The sequence below is a fragment of the Homo sapiens genome, chromosome 2 (assembly GCF_000001405.40).
Source record: "Homo sapiens chromosome 2, GRCh38.p14 Primary Assembly".
NCBI classification, from domain to species: domain Eukaryota; kingdom Metazoa; phylum Chordata; class Mammalia; order Primates; family Hominidae; genus Homo; species Homo sapiens.
Genome location: NC_000002.12, coordinates 74,412,350 through 74,425,772, shown reverse-complemented (window position 1 = coordinate 74,425,772; position 13,423 = coordinate 74,412,350). Strand labels below are relative to the sequence as shown.

Here is a 13,423-nt window from a genome sequence, read left to right as displayed (position 1 = left end):
AGTAATCAGACAAAGGCTGGGTGGAGCGGGTACTTTATGAATACCACAGGGACAAAGGAAGGCTGCTCTTCTCACACACTGCTGAATCTCCGGATCTCCGCAAGGTCATAGCCAGTCACAGCAAAGGAGTTGCCTGAGGAATCACAAAATCGAGCACCACACAGCTGGGTGTCGGCGACACACTCACCATGACAGTGTTCCACCTGGGGGAGCAGAGGGCTCGTCAGGGCCTGCTGCCCCATGCTTGGGCCCCCCCATTCCACCCACCCCATGACACATACCTCAATGTAGCCACTCTCTGGGTTTCTGCTCAGCTTCCAGATATGCACAAAGGTGTCCTCACCTGCAGAGAGTAGCTGTGGAGGAGGAAGAGGGGGAGTCAGAATGCCCTGACGGGACAGCTATAAGCTGGAATCCCCAGTCCAGGTGCCCCAGGGGAGGGGGCTACACTGAGTTGCAAAGACAAGCCTGTGGTGTTCTCTCAACATTCCACTGCCAGGAAAAAGGGTATGTAGGTACAGAGGAGGAGACTTACCTTGCCCACCTCAGAAGCCAGGTCCAGGGCGCAGATGGCCCGGGCATGGGCATTGATCTGGACATGTAGATTTCCTGTAGTGGCCTCATATAGATGCACTTGTCCGTTCCCATAGCCTGCTGCTATGATCCCCTGCCACAGCTGCACAGAGGGGCACGGAACTCTGCAAGGGTGACACCCAACTTTGTTTTGCCCAGATCAAATCCTACTCCCCAGCCTGAAGCTATCTCAGGAAGCCCTCTACCCTTTCTGCCTCACCTACCCAAATCCTGGAATGCGGGTCAATAATGTGAATTCTGGCCCTGACCGCCAGACACACAGCAAGCCTGAGTCATCTGCCGTCACCATGTCAGCCACACAATCCTGAAGGGAAAGGCAAGATCAACCCTTCCCTTTCTCCCCTGCTATGGTCCTGTATACAGGGCAGGAGGGGAAGGGAGGCAGTGTGTGCATCTTTGCCTCTCCAGGGAAAGGGCAAGGTGTGGAGCTCTCACTAGCTAGACCCATCAGAAACCACCCCTACCACCAGGGTTCCCTTGGGAAGCATGAACTGCTTTCCTTGAATTTCTTCATGGAGTCCCATCCCCCAATAACATTAGGAGGGGGTGCATAATTGCCTCACTGGATGGATGATAAAACTGAGGCCACAGTGTCGTGACCTTCTGGAGGTCTCGTAGTGAACCAGTCACAGTCATGACTAGACCCTGGGCCCCTGCACCCCCAACACCAGGCAGCCAACACAACCTATGGGCCTAGCCCTATGCCAGGTACAATGGAGAATATGAATAAGAAAATATACACCCTGTTCTCAAGAGGTTTGCAAATTACTTGGGGAGACAAGAGTTGTCTTTTGAGGGCAGTGCCAATTCAGGTTTCAGCTAAGAGACATCAGTGGGAGCTAGAATATGGGGAAGGCTTCCTGGAGAGGATGGATGGCACTGGAGCTGGGCCTGAATAGGTGGGACTTGCCCTAGAGAAGGAAGCTGCACATTTCAGAGCTGGAAAGTATCTTAGAAACCATTTGTTCCAACTCCTCATTTCACATCAGTATTATAAAGTCTTAATTAACTATAAAATACTACATAAATGTAAAGTATCTCTGGCTTTATCACTGAACCTGGTTGCTGAAGACTAGGAAAATGTAGATTTGCCCAAAGCCATCCACCTGTTTAGTGGCAGAGCCAAGACTCAAAGCCAGGTCCCCTGCCTCCCAGGGTGGGGAAGGCTCCCAGATGGGTAGGGGAAGTCCACTCACCTGTCCCTGGGCAGGCTCGGTGGCAATGTCTGTGATTGGCATCTGGTGCCCAGCCAGCTCCTCGCTCAGTACAATGTTGGGACCCTTTGCTGGGATGTCAAACACCAGCACCCGGCCTGACCACGTTCCTGTATCCAGAACCAGTACTCCAGTGATGACTTCCTGACCCTCCTGGGTCTCCAGCCACCATACTCAACACTTACTCCATCCCAGAAACCTTAGTAACAAAACCCCCTCTCACTGCTCCAACGGCCATGCCCCTTCATTCACTAGCCTTGTCTTATCCCACCCTGACCCTCTGAACCCTTCCATGGTTTACTGGAGTCTCTGATTCCACTCCACTTCCACCCTTCCCTCTAACTTTCCACAATTTCCTCAGGCCCTCATTATTCTCCTGGCCACAGCCCACATGCCCCAGCACCCCTCCATGCCCTGCACTTGGCTCCCTCACCCACACAGATGAAGTGGCCACTGGCAGCAATTCCCCGGGCAAACACAGCCTGTACTGAATATGAAAGGGGAGAATGATCAGAAATATCCCCTCCTGCAGCCCTAGCAAACACTCCCTGCCCCCACCCCACTTGGTCCTGCAGGTACCTGGGGAGGCATCTCCAGAGTCCAGTGCATGCCAGTAGACCATGGTGTAGCCATTGGACTCGTACATCTGGAAGACCGGGGCAAGAACCAGGGGGCATAACCCAACTGACCTCTGCTGAGTACTTCACATATCCGTGTTAGCCTTAGCCCATTTAATCCTCAAAACAAATCTGGGATGTAGGTACTATTTTTATCCTAATTTTTTCAGAGGACAACAGTGAGAGTGAGAAGTTAATAGTGTAAGGACATACAGCTAGTAAAGGGGCAGATACTGGAGGTGGCACTTGGAAACTGGAAAAGATGGAAAGATTGAAGATAAGAAATAGAAAAAGAGTGAGTGGGCCAAGCATGTGAAAAGTCTGGAAGTGTTTAGAGGCAAGTGGGAAAGTCTGGAAGCCTGGCAGGGAAGCTGAGAAGGCTCTGGTGGGGCAAGCAGGAGAGTCCTCTTCTTACCTGTATTCCTCGATGTGAGGTGAGTACCAGCAGCACTCGGAAGGGGAGGACACACCAGTGGACCTGGAGGGAGGTGCATCAGTGTAGGGAGAAAATCAAAGCAGGGAAGATGAGTTTGTTTGTTTTTTTTTTTTTTTTGGGGGACGGAGTCTTGCTCTGTGGCCCAGGCTGGAGTGCAGTGGCGCCATCTCGGCTCACTGCAACCTCAGCCTCCTGGGTTCAAGCGATTCTCCTGCCTCAGCCACCCAAGTAGCTGGGATTACAGGTGCACGCCACCACACCCGGTTAATTTTTTTTGTATTCTTAGTAGAGAAGAGGTTTCACCATGTTGGCCAGGCTGGTCTCGAACTCCTGGCCTCAAGTGCCCGTCTCAGCCTCCCAAAGTGTTGGGATTACAGGCGTGAGCCACCGCGCCCGGCAGGAGAGGGGAGATTCTGAGGTTAGGACATGCCTGGGGAGATTCTGAGGTTAGGACATGCCTGCTCCTGAAGGTTTGGAGAGAAAAGGCTGGGGGTAGGACTGGGTTCAGCAACATCACTCCCAGCTCCATGCCTCACCTGAGTGATAAGTGGGGGACTCACTCCAGCACCCTCCTTAGCGTGGAGCTGGCGCTGGGCCAAGGGCACACCCTCAGGAGCAGCGCTGAGAAGCTGGGCGCTTGGTCCATGAACCACGCCAAAATACGTGAGGTTGCGAGCCGGCAGCTGCAGCACACTGAGGTTGTTGCACAGGGCGGCGGCCGAGCCTCGCAGGGGAATGGAGCGCTCCCAGCGGAACATCCTGTGTGGGGGTGCAGCCGAATCACCAGGCGCGCTACAAACAGACGCAGCGGAGATGCCCGAGGGCGGCTATCATCGAGCATTTCGGAAGATGCCTGAGACTGGGTCATAGGATGGGGTGCCCAGAGGACGGTGATGGGGGAGGGTCTCGAGGAGCAAGACAGGGGAGTCCCAGGGCTGTTTTGGGGCGACGGGGGAATCGCAGAGGAGGAATGGGGATGACACAGGACCACCCGATGGCCCCAAGCCCGCGAGCCAAATAAGTGTGATGAAGCCCCCAAGGCTTTCTCCCTCGGCTCGGATCCCTGAAGCCCCCGGCCTAGATCAGAGGTAACACCTGCAGCCCCAGATCGGCTCGCCTGACTCCTGGTTCGTAGGGTCCCTCCAAATCCGCCGCCACCATAGAGACGACGCACGTACGCACGGCCCTTGGGCGGGGTGAGCGGCCGGAACGTGCCGCGGGCGGCGCGGTTGCCGGGGCAACTGTGGGCGGGGCGAGCGACCCCGAGCCCGTGGTTGCCCAGGCGACTGTTAGGTGGCTTACGCGGCCCGGATGCAGCAGAAACACCAGCGTTGCTGCGACCGCGTTGGCGATGGCGCACGAAGGCTCGGTGAGCTTCAGTTCAGCTGGGGATGCGCCAGAGCCAGGGTCGGCCGTTAAGGTCGGTGTCGGGAACAGTGGGCTGGCTCTGGGCCGCCCAGTGCCCCTACTTGCTCCCGCCCACCGCGCGGGAGTTTAGATGACCAAGGAAGCCACGTCGGTACTCGGGCAGAAAACCTACACCTGCACGGTGCCCACTCAAACGCTTTGTTACACTCAAGCCATGAGGGAAAGGGTCAGTGGGTGGTGTAGAGCCCGAGAACAGGAAGTGGATTTTGAAACAGCTAATGAATGTAGTAAGTCTCTTACATGGTGGTGCGTATTTAAATGGATGAGCATTTAGAGAGGGAAGATAACAGAAAAAATCTATTTCGAGAATTTCAAGAGGAAGAAATATATTAAATAATTCAGAGACTGCACTTGAAAGTCAAATTGTTTAAGAGCCAATCAATTTTAAAATAAAGAAAACGGGGCCGGTCTCAATGGCTCATGCCTGTAATCCCAGCACTTTGAGAGGCTGAGGCGGGAGGATTGCCTGAGCTCAGGAGTTCAAGACCAGCCAGGCCAACATGGCGAGACCCCGTCTCGACTAAAATACAAAAAATTAGCTGGATGTGGTGGCGCGGTGCCTGTAATCCCAGCTACTCGGGAGGCAGAGGCAGGAGAATTGCTTGAACTCGGGAGGCGGAGGTTGCAGTGAGCCGAGATCGCGCCACTGCGCTCTAGCCTGGGTGACAGAGAGAGACTGTCTCAAAAAAAAAAAAAAAAAAAAAAAAAAAAGAAGAAGAAGAAAGAAAACGGATTTGAAGAGCCTTTGTGCAAAAATATCTCTGTCCCTTCTGGTCACCATCACGGGTGTCAGATGCGAGGCTGGGAGGGGAGGTCTAAGGAAACAACTCTCTTTACTCAGTCCAGTCAGCCCTGCTCTAGTCAAGCTTGGCCTGGGCTATGGGCCACTCCTGGTGCTTGCTACAGGGCTGTTCTCACTGGTGGATAGGGTTAATGAGACTTCAGGGATTTTGAGTTCTGCAAGACTTAGGAAACAGCAGATTTGGGGGGATAATGAATTTTAGGAAACAGATATGAGACAAGGTTTTAGCGGGGCAATAGGCAAAGGTTTGGGAAGATCACATTTGGAAGTACATTTTGGAAGGAACCAGGTTCAGGGAGACTGTTGTGGGGAATTGAGGGAGCTCCCAAGAGATTGTTTGTAAACTTTTTATGTCTCTAAAGTGAGTTTTGGGGACTAGTCTTTTTTTTTTTTTAAGTGATTACAAAAGGAAACAAACTCATTGTAGAGAACTTACAAAATAGAAAAGAGCATAGGAAGGAAACGTATCCTCTGTTATCATTTTGAAGTTTTCCTTTTGTTGAACACATAGTGGTTTACATATATGAGATCATAATTGATGTGTAAGTTTGTATCCTGCTTCTTTCAATTAACGTTACATCATAAACATTTGCTTTATGCCATTGCAAATTCTTTCTAAAGATTACCTTTAATGGCTGGGTTGGTGGCTCATGCCTGCAAGGTGGGCAGATCACTTGAGGCCAGTTCAAGACCAGTCTGGCCAACATGGCGAAACCCCATCTCTACTAAAAATAGAAAAAAAATTAGCCAGGCCTGGTGGCAGGCGCCTGTAATCCCAGCTACTCCGGAGGCTGAGGCAGGAGAATTGCTTGAACCTGGGAGGCAGAGGTTGCAGTGAGCCGAGATCTTGCCACTGCACTCCAGCCTGGGTGACAGAGCGAGATTCCGTCTCAAAAACAAAAACAAACAAACAAAAAAAGATTACCTTTAATCATTGCATAATATTTCAGTATATATAGCATGTCAATTATTTATTCTCTTTTTAAAGACATGTTTTCAATATTCTGCTATTATAAAAATACCGCAGAGAATTTGTTGGAGAATATATTTTTATCTTCATTTCAGAAAATGCCTTTTGGTTGTATTTATAGAACTGAAATTGCAGGGTTGAGGAAGTGAAAACATTTTTTAATGTCTTCATGCATACTGTTGCAGCATGGTATCACACTAAACCTTTGCCAATGCTGAGTATTCTTGTTTTTAAAATAATTCCAATTTGATGAACTAGAAATCAGAATGTCAATACTATATTTATTAGTCATCTACAGTCCCTCTCTTGTGAAATGTCATGTCCTTTGCTTATCTTTGGGATCTTAAATGGTTTTTCTTCTTATAGTTTAAATTTTTATTGCAATATAGCCCAAGCTGGACTTGAACTCCTGGGCTCAAGCAATCCCCCTGCCTCAGCCTCCCGAGCAGCTGGTACTGTGGGTGTGCGCCACTGTGCCTGGCCATTTTTCTTCTTCTATTTTTTATTTTATTAGTTTTTTTTTTCTTTTTTGAGACAGAGTCTCGCTCTGTCACCCAGGCTGGAGTTCAGTAGCATGATCTCAGCTCACTGCAAACTCTGCCTCCCGGGTTCAAGTGATTCTCGTGCCTCAGCCTCCCTAGTAGCTGGAATTACAGGCGCCCACCACCATGCCTGGCTAATTTTTGTATTATTAGTAGAGACGGGGTTTCACCATGTTGGCTAGGCTGGTCTCGAACTCCTGACCTCAAATGATCCACCCACCTCGGCCTCCCAAAGTGCTGGGATTACAGGCGTGAGCCACTGCGCCCGGCCATTTTTTTTTTTATATGAGCTTTTAATTTACTCGGGGATATTTATCTTTTTTCATATTTGTTGCAAATGTCTTTGAGAGGCTCTGGAGTCAGACAGACTTGCATGTGAATGCATTCTGACTTCACTACATCCTACTTGTATGATACTGGGTAAATTACCATAAAATGGAGATAAGAATAGTTGGTTAAAAAAAAAAAATGTAGAGAACTTTTTAAGCTCCCCTGAGCCGGGGCTGTGCTCTTCTAAGTGGGACTCCGAGCCTGGGCTATTTCTGGCGCTGGCGCGGCTCCAGGAAGGCATCCGCATTTGCGACCAGGGGCGGCTGCGGTGGAGACTGGCCTGTCCTCAGCGCCCAGCACCGCTGCTCCCGGCAAACCGGAGCATGCACCGCAGGCCAGCGGCCGAGTTCGCCCATCCCAGCCATCACTTTTCCAACTAGTCCTTAGAGAAGGGAAGATGAGCGAGTCGAGCTCGAAGTCCAGCCAGCCCTTGGCCTCCAAGCAGAAAAAGGACGGCACTGAGAAGCGGGGCCGTGGCAGGCCGCGCAAGCAGCCTCCGGTGAGTCCCAGGACAGCGCTGGTAGGGAGTCAGAAGGAGCTCAGCGAAGTGCCAACACCTAAGAGACCTCGGGGCCGACCAAAGGGAAGCAAAAACAAGGGTGCTGCCAAGACCGGGAAAACCACCACAACTCTGGGAAGGAAACCAAGGGGAAGACCCAAAAAACTGGAGAAGGAGGAAGAGAAGGGCATCTCGCAGGAGTCCTCACTGGAGGAGCAGCTTCCTTCTGGGACTGGACAGCTTTGATCTGCTCCCAACCCCCCACCTCCCACCCCCCACCCCTTCCCTACACCCACCATCACCACCGCCTCCAGCCACCACCCTCATCTTCCACCTGCACCTTCACCACCACACTACACAACACACCAGCCGCTGCAGGTCCCTATGGGCTGAGTGGAGAGGACTTTTCCCCTGGCCTCTTCCCATCCCTACCCCCTCCTCCCCCCGTCCACCCACTCATACACATGTGCCCTCCTGGACAAGGCTAATGTCCTGCTTAGCCGCACCCTGCACCTGCTGCGTCCCTGATCCCTTGGTGGTGACATTGCTCTCTGGGCTTTTGGTTTGGGAGCCACTTCTCTGCTCCTCCACTGTTGCCTCTGGCTTCCCATAGAGGGGCCTGGGAGGGTTCCCCTGGTCTTAAAAGGGGCCCAAGCCCCCATTCTGGCACACCCCACTCCACTGTCCTGGCAGCAGCAGGTGTGGCCAATGGAGGGGGGTGCTGGCCCCCAGGATTCCCCCAGCCAAACTGTCTTTGTCACCACGTGAGGCTCACACCTTTCATCCTTCCCCACCTTCCCTAGTCCCTGCACTAGGTTGGACAGCCCCCATTGGCTACAGGAAAGCGGGAGGGGTGTGAGTCCCCTACTCCCTCTTTGCAGTGGCCCCAGCCCCCTTACCGTCTGCCTGGGATCTGAGTACATATTGCAGTGATGGAGATGCAGTCACCTATTGTCCAGGTGAGGCCCATGAGCCCTGTGGCAGCTACCTGAGGTGGGCTGGGGCTGCTCCCCCAACCCTACTTTGCTTCTACCACTTGGCCATTTTCCTCTCCTCAGATGGGGCACCAATAACAAGGAGCTCACCCTTCCCACTCCCAGCCCTCCTGCTCCTGCCACCCCCCCAGGTTCTGGTTCCATTTTTCCTTTGTTCACAAACTACCTCTGGACAGTTGTTTTGTTTTTGGTTCAATGTTCCATTCTTTGACATCTGTCATTGCTGCTGCTAGCAGCGCCAAATGTTCATCCACATTGCCTCCTGTTCTGCCCATGATCCCCTCCCCCAGGTTACTCTTCGTGGAGAAGAGGGGCTGGGGCATGGCAGGCTGGGTGACTGACTACTCCCCTAGGATGCTGCAGCAGAGAGAGCAAGGGGGCCCAAATCCACCATAAAGCATGTAGGGGCCACCTGCTCCCCCGGGTCTGTCAGGGAGGGGTAGCCATGATTTGTCCCAGCCTGGGGCTCCCCCTCTGGTTTCCTATTTGCAATTACTTGAATTAAAAAAAAAAAATCCTTTTCTGGAAAACAAAATGTAGAGAAGACTCTAAATAGCACCAATAATTCCAGGACTGTTTACTGAATTGTCTTTCTCAAGTAATTTGAACACTCAAGAATTTTGAACACTTTGCTCTGGTATAAGGGCCATGAAGTTAAACCTTCACATTGTCTGGGCTTGCTCACTGTGTGCTCCTAAGCAAGGCTGGTTAACTTCTGTCAGACTTCGGTTTCTTTTTTCTTTCTTTTTCTTTTTCTTTTTTTTTTTTTTTTTTTTTTTTGAGACGCAGTCTTGCTCTGTCGCCAGGCTGGGGTGCAGTGGCGCAGTCTCTGCTCACTGCAACCTCCATCTCCCGGGTTCAAGTGACTCTCCTTCCTCAGCCTCCCCACTTCAGTTTCTTTATCTGTCAATTGTGGTTAGTGGGCTGTTAATGAAAATTATTAGGTCAAACATCTACTAAGTATCTGTCACATAGTAGGCTCTTCGTCAATTGGCCCTTTTCCTTCCCACTAGACAACTTGAGAAAGCTTCCTCCTAGCCTATAGCTACTCTTCCGTTCCACTTCTTGGTTTCCTGCTCTGATTGCCATGTTTTGTTCTCACAGAGGCAGGAGAGGCAGGTCCGAGACCGCGGGGTGACCCGGTCCAAGGCGGAAAAAGTGCGGCCGCCCACTGTGCCAGTGCCGCAGGTGGATATTGTGCCTGGGCGGCTCAGTGAGGCCGAGTGGATGGCGCTTACAGCCCTCGAGGAGGGCGAGGACGTCGTAGGGGACATCTTGGCCGACTTGCTGGCTCGAGTCATGGACTCTGCTTTCAAAGTCTACCTGACTCAGCAGGTGGGCCGGGATCCGGGTCCTTCAGACTCGTCTCCCTCTCCCGCCCCTCCCTGCCGACCTGAGATCCTCTCTCGCCTCCGCAGTGCATTCCATTCACCATCAGCCAGGCCCGGGAGGCCATGCTGCAGATCACCGAGTGGCGCTTCCTGGCCCGGGACGAGGGAGAATCTGCAGTAGCTGAGGACCCCACATGGGGTGAGGACGAGGAGCCTTCGGCATGCACGACGGACTCCTGGGCTCAGGGTTCAGTGCCCGTGCTGCACGCGTCCACCTCGGAGGGCCTGGAGAACTTCCAAGGCGAAGTACACTCCTCAGGAGCCTCTCCGGACTCCTCTGCCATTGCTCCTGCTCTCCCCTTTCCGACATCTCACTGCCCGAGTGCATTTCCCCAGGACCCTGGGGGCGTGGACCGGATCCCTTTAGGAAGGTCGTGGATGGGTCGAGGCTCCCAGGAGCAGATGGAATCTTGGGAGCCTTCTCCGCAGCTGAGAGTCACGTCGGCCCCTCCTCCCACATCAGAGCTGTTTCAGGAGGCAGGGCCCGGAGGTCCTGTAGAGGAAGCGGACGGCCAGTCTAGAGGCCTCTCCTCGGCCGGGTCCTTGAGCGCGAGCTTCCAACTGTCGGTGGAGGAGGCGCCTGCCGACGATGCCGACCCTTCTCTGGATCCGTACCTGGTAGCCAGCCCCCAGGCCTCAACTGGGAGGGGACACCCCCTCGGCTTCCATTTGTCGTTGGAAGACCTCTACTGTTGCATGCCTCAACTGGACGCGGCTGGGGATCGGCTGGAACTCAGGTCAGAGGGGGTGCCCTGCATCGCCTCGGGCGTGTTGGTGTCCTACCCCTCTGTGGGCGGCGCCACCCGCCCCTCCGCGTCCTGCCAGCAGCAGCGGGCCGGGCACTCGGATGTGCGGCTGAGCGCCCACCACCACAGGATGCGCCGCAAGGCGGCCGTGAAACGCCTGGACCCTGCGAGGCTCCCGTGCCACTGGGTGCGCCCTCTGGCTGAGGTCCTGGTCCCAGACTCTCAAACACGCCCCTTGGAAGCCTACCGCGGACGCCAGCGGGGCGAGAAGACCAAGGCCCGGGCCGAACCCCAAGCCCTCGGCCCCGGCACCCGTGTCTCCCCGGCAGCGTTCTTCCCTCTCCGGCCAGGCATTCCTTTCCGTGACTTGGACTCGGGCCCCGCACTCCTGTTCCCCACTTTAAATTTAGGCCTATCGTCGCCATCCCTCGAGTCAAAGCTGCCACTCCCAAACTCCAGGATCCGCTTCCTCACCACACACCCGGTGCTCCCTGATGTGGCCCGCAGCCGCAGCCCCAAGCTGTGGCCCAGTGTCAGGTGGCCCAGCGGTTGGGAGGGGAAGGCCGAGCTGCTGGGCGAGCTGTGGGCTGGCCGGACCCGCGTGCCTCCACAGGGTCTGGAGCTGGCAGACAGGGAGGGCCAGGATCCTGGCAGATGGCCTCGAACCACACCCCCGGTCCTTGAAGCCACTTCCCAGGTGATGTGGAAGCCCGTGTTGCTGCCAGAAGCCCTGAAGCTGGCCCCTGGTGTGAGCATGTGGAACCGGAGCACCCAGGTGTTGCTCAGCTCTGGTGTGCCTGAACAAGAGGACAAAGAAGGTAGCACCTTTCCTCCCGTTGAGCAACATCCCATCCAGACAGGTGCCCCAAAGCCCAGGTGACCGTAGCACAGCTAATGAAGAACTCAGCCCCCAAAGTGTGGTCACGCTCCTCTAAGCCTGCTGCCTCCCTCTGATCCCTGAGCCTCTGGCAGTAGTAACTGGTCCCTCCCTCTGCTAGCCAGAAATAAACACCTGAGTTGCCTTAGGAACTAGTCTGATGTCTCTTGTCAGTTTCTTCCAAGGGTGTCCACCCTCTCACTGAACCCCAAGGGGAGCAGTTATCCTGCAGGCCTAGAAGAAGATAGAACCAGGGTTCAGGAAATAACCCTCTCGCCACCCTTAGGAGACCCTGCATTAGGGCCAAAGCTGCCCCATTGCAGAGGCATTCTAGAGAAACCCCTGTCCCCCAAAGGAGTAGACATAAGGGCTGCCAGCGGGTCTGGCTCTGTAGAGAGAACTTCGAGTCTCCTTTCAGTAGGGGAGGAAGGAGAAGGCCCCGCATAAGCACAGAGTGATTCGAGATATGAAGAACTTGATTTCTTGCTTCCCTGGTCCCTGGAGCTTGGTCACTTCACCTTAGACTGCAAATCCAAATTTCACTTTTGAAGTTAAGGAGGAACTCTCAAACTCAAACAGTATATTGAACAAACTCAAGAGTCAGTGCCTCCTTAAATTTTATCTTAGGCTCCACACCTGCCTCATTGCTAGTCTCCACTCTGCCCAGATTTATCCTGCACCCACTTCCTCCTACAGCATTTCCCCAGCAGGCCCAGGAAGTTTCTGCTATGTTGCTGTGGGCTGCACTCAGCATCCTGGTCTGGGGCGCTGGCTCTGTCTTCCTTATTCTGGTCTTCTTCAACTACATGTGCAGCTCTGGCAGAAGTCTCATCCCTGGGACCTCCAGTGCTGCTCCACAGATCTGACTGGGAAAATAGCCATAGTGACTGGGGCCAACAGTGGTGAGTGCTCCTCCCACCCTGAATCCTCACTATGGGCCTCAGCCTCCAACAACTCTCACAGGGAAGGCAGGGAGGAGCATCCACTATCAACACCCTTGTCCCTCCCCTAGAGTGTCCCTTGTTCACTGTAGTCACCACCCAGCCGAAGTTGTCCTCCCACAGGCATCGGGAAGGTTGTATCCCAGGACCTAGCTCGGTGTGGGGCCCAAGTGATCCTTACTTGTCAGAGCAGGGAATGTGGACAGCAAGCCCTGGCTGAGATCCAAGCAGCCTCAAACAGCAACCGCCTCCTGCTTGGCGAGGTGGACCTTAGCTCCATGACCTCTATTCGGAGCTTTGCCCGGAGGCTTCTACAGGAGAATCCTGAGATACATCTGCTGGTAAACAATGCTGGAGTCAGTGGTATGTGCCTGGCTTGCTTCTCCAAACATGTTTCTGCAGTCTCCTTTCTAGCTCAGGAACTCTAAAACAGGTATCCTCAAAGCCTAGTCTATGCAATCTTGCCAAAACACTAATCCATACCCTCCCCTAAAAAGCTGACATTGAGTTATAGCCTTAAACTTCATTGCCCCCATCTTCACATGTATGTGCCCCTGTGGCATTTCTGCTGAAGGTAATATGTCCCTCCCAGACCTTGTCTCCCTCAAGGTGGTCCCTTTATCACTCAATGCCAGTGTTTTCATTTCCTCCCAGGATTCCGAAGACACTTACCCCAGGGGGCCTGGATCTCACCTTTGTCACTAACTATGTTGGGCCCTTTCTGCTCACAAATCTACTCCAAGGTAAGGAAGGATGGGCACCTTCTGTGCTGCCCTCTTCCCTATACCCCTGGCATTCTAGTAACTGTCTCCCAGGACCACCTCTTGCCTCTTGGCACCCAGCTGTTTGCTGAGTGGTGACCCAACACACTTTTTGTGTCACACATCAGGGAAGCCCAGCTGGCACAAGTCAGTATTAGAAGGCTGATAGAAGAATCATTCAGCCCAAAATATAATCAGCAAGGGGATATGAGATCCCAGACCTCCTTCTCCCATCCCCTAGTTCTAGCCAGACCAGTAGAGTAGTTTTTGCAATGAAGGC

General features: G+C 53.4%; 2 protein-coding genes and 1 pseudogene across 10 annotated transcripts, besides 2 other annotated features; 2 read left to right on the top strand and 1 right to left on the bottom strand.

Annotated features, from left to right (window-relative positions):
- Positions 1 to 17: 17 nt before the first annotated feature.
- WDR54 (WD repeat domain 54) lies at positions 18 to 4,043 on the bottom strand. Of its 6 annotated transcripts, none has more exons than NM_001320824.2 (10): positions 3,957 to 4,043; positions 3,398 to 3,653; positions 2,841 to 2,903; positions 2,388 to 2,454; positions 2,242 to 2,295; positions 1,791 to 1,918; positions 798 to 898; positions 536 to 698; positions 282 to 356; positions 18 to 203 (listed from the first exon to the last, which is right to left on the bottom strand). In NM_001320824.2, exons 2-10 carry the CDS (start codon positions 3,617 to 3,619, stop codon positions 72 to 74), a joined length of 1,005 nt encoding a protein of 334 aa, NP_001307753.1. In that variant the 5' UTR covers positions 3,620 to 3,653; positions 3,957 to 4,043; the 3' UTR covers positions 18 to 71. The 6 variants fall into 6 exon arrangements, with proteins under 6 accessions (NP_001307753.1, NP_115494.1, NP_001307752.1 ...); NM_032118.4 differs by having other exon boundaries at positions 3,398 to 3,620; NM_001320823.2 differs by having other exon boundaries at positions 3,398 to 3,620; positions 3,979 to 4,043.
- Positions 3,364 to 3,543: an enhancer, noted in NCBI's record as "active region_16055". NCBI's record gives its function as "activates an Ori minimal core promoter by ATAC-STARR-seq in GM12878 lymphoblastoid cells {active_cell/tissue: GM12878}" and the evidence as "EXISTENCE:reporter gene assay evidence [ECO:0000049][PMID:35858748]".
- Positions 3,944 to 4,223: a silencer, noted in NCBI's record as "silent region_11659". NCBI's record gives its function as "represses an Ori minimal core promoter by ATAC-STARR-seq in GM12878 lymphoblastoid cells {active_cell/tissue: GM12878}" and the evidence as "EXISTENCE:reporter gene assay evidence [ECO:0000049][PMID:35858748]".
- C2orf81 (chromosome 2 open reading frame 81) lies at positions 4,154 to 11,596 on the top strand. Of its 4 annotated transcripts, NM_001145054.2 has the most exons (4): positions 8,056 to 8,391; positions 9,532 to 9,762; positions 9,846 to 10,064; positions 10,155 to 11,596. In NM_001145054.2, exons 1-4 carry the CDS (start codon positions 8,365 to 8,367, stop codon positions 11,442 to 11,444), a joined length of 1,767 nt encoding a protein of 588 aa, NP_001138526.1. In that variant the 5' UTR covers positions 8,056 to 8,364; the 3' UTR covers positions 11,445 to 11,596. The 4 variants fall into 4 exon arrangements, with proteins under 4 accessions (NP_001303694.1, NP_001303693.1, NP_001303695.1 ...); NM_001316765.2 differs by lacking the exon at positions 8,056 to 8,391 and adding an exon at positions 4,154 to 4,230 and having other exon boundaries at positions 9,532 to 9,615; positions 9,846 to 11,596; NM_001316764.3 differs by lacking the exon at positions 8,056 to 8,391 and adding an exon at positions 4,154 to 4,230 and having other exon boundaries at positions 9,846 to 11,596.
- Positions 7,082 to 8,954, top strand: HMGA1P8 (high mobility group AT-hook 1 pseudogene 8; annotated as a pseudogene).
- Positions 11,597 to 13,423: the final 1,827 nt, after the last annotated feature.

Excerpts from the sequence above, each read along its gene's own strand:
- WDR54 (NM_001320823.2), bottom strand. The coding sequence starts at position 4,022 with ATGGTGGCGGCGGATTTGGAGGGACCCTACGAACCAGGAGTCAG. Across the intron at positions 3,621-3,978 it reads CCCTACGAACCAGGAGTCAG|GATGTTCCGCTGGGAGCGCT; the intron begins GCGAGCCGATCT and ends ACCCCCACACAG. Across the intron at positions 1,919-2,241 it reads TGGCCACTTCATCTGTGTGG|GAACGTGGTCAGGCCGGGTG; the intron begins GTGAGGGAGCCA and ends TTCTGGATACAG.
- C2orf81 (NM_001316764.3), top strand. Across the intron at positions 9,763-9,845 it reads AAGTCTACCTGACTCAGCAG|TGCATTCCATTCACCATCAG; the intron begins GTGGGCCGGGAT and ends TCGCCTCCGCAG.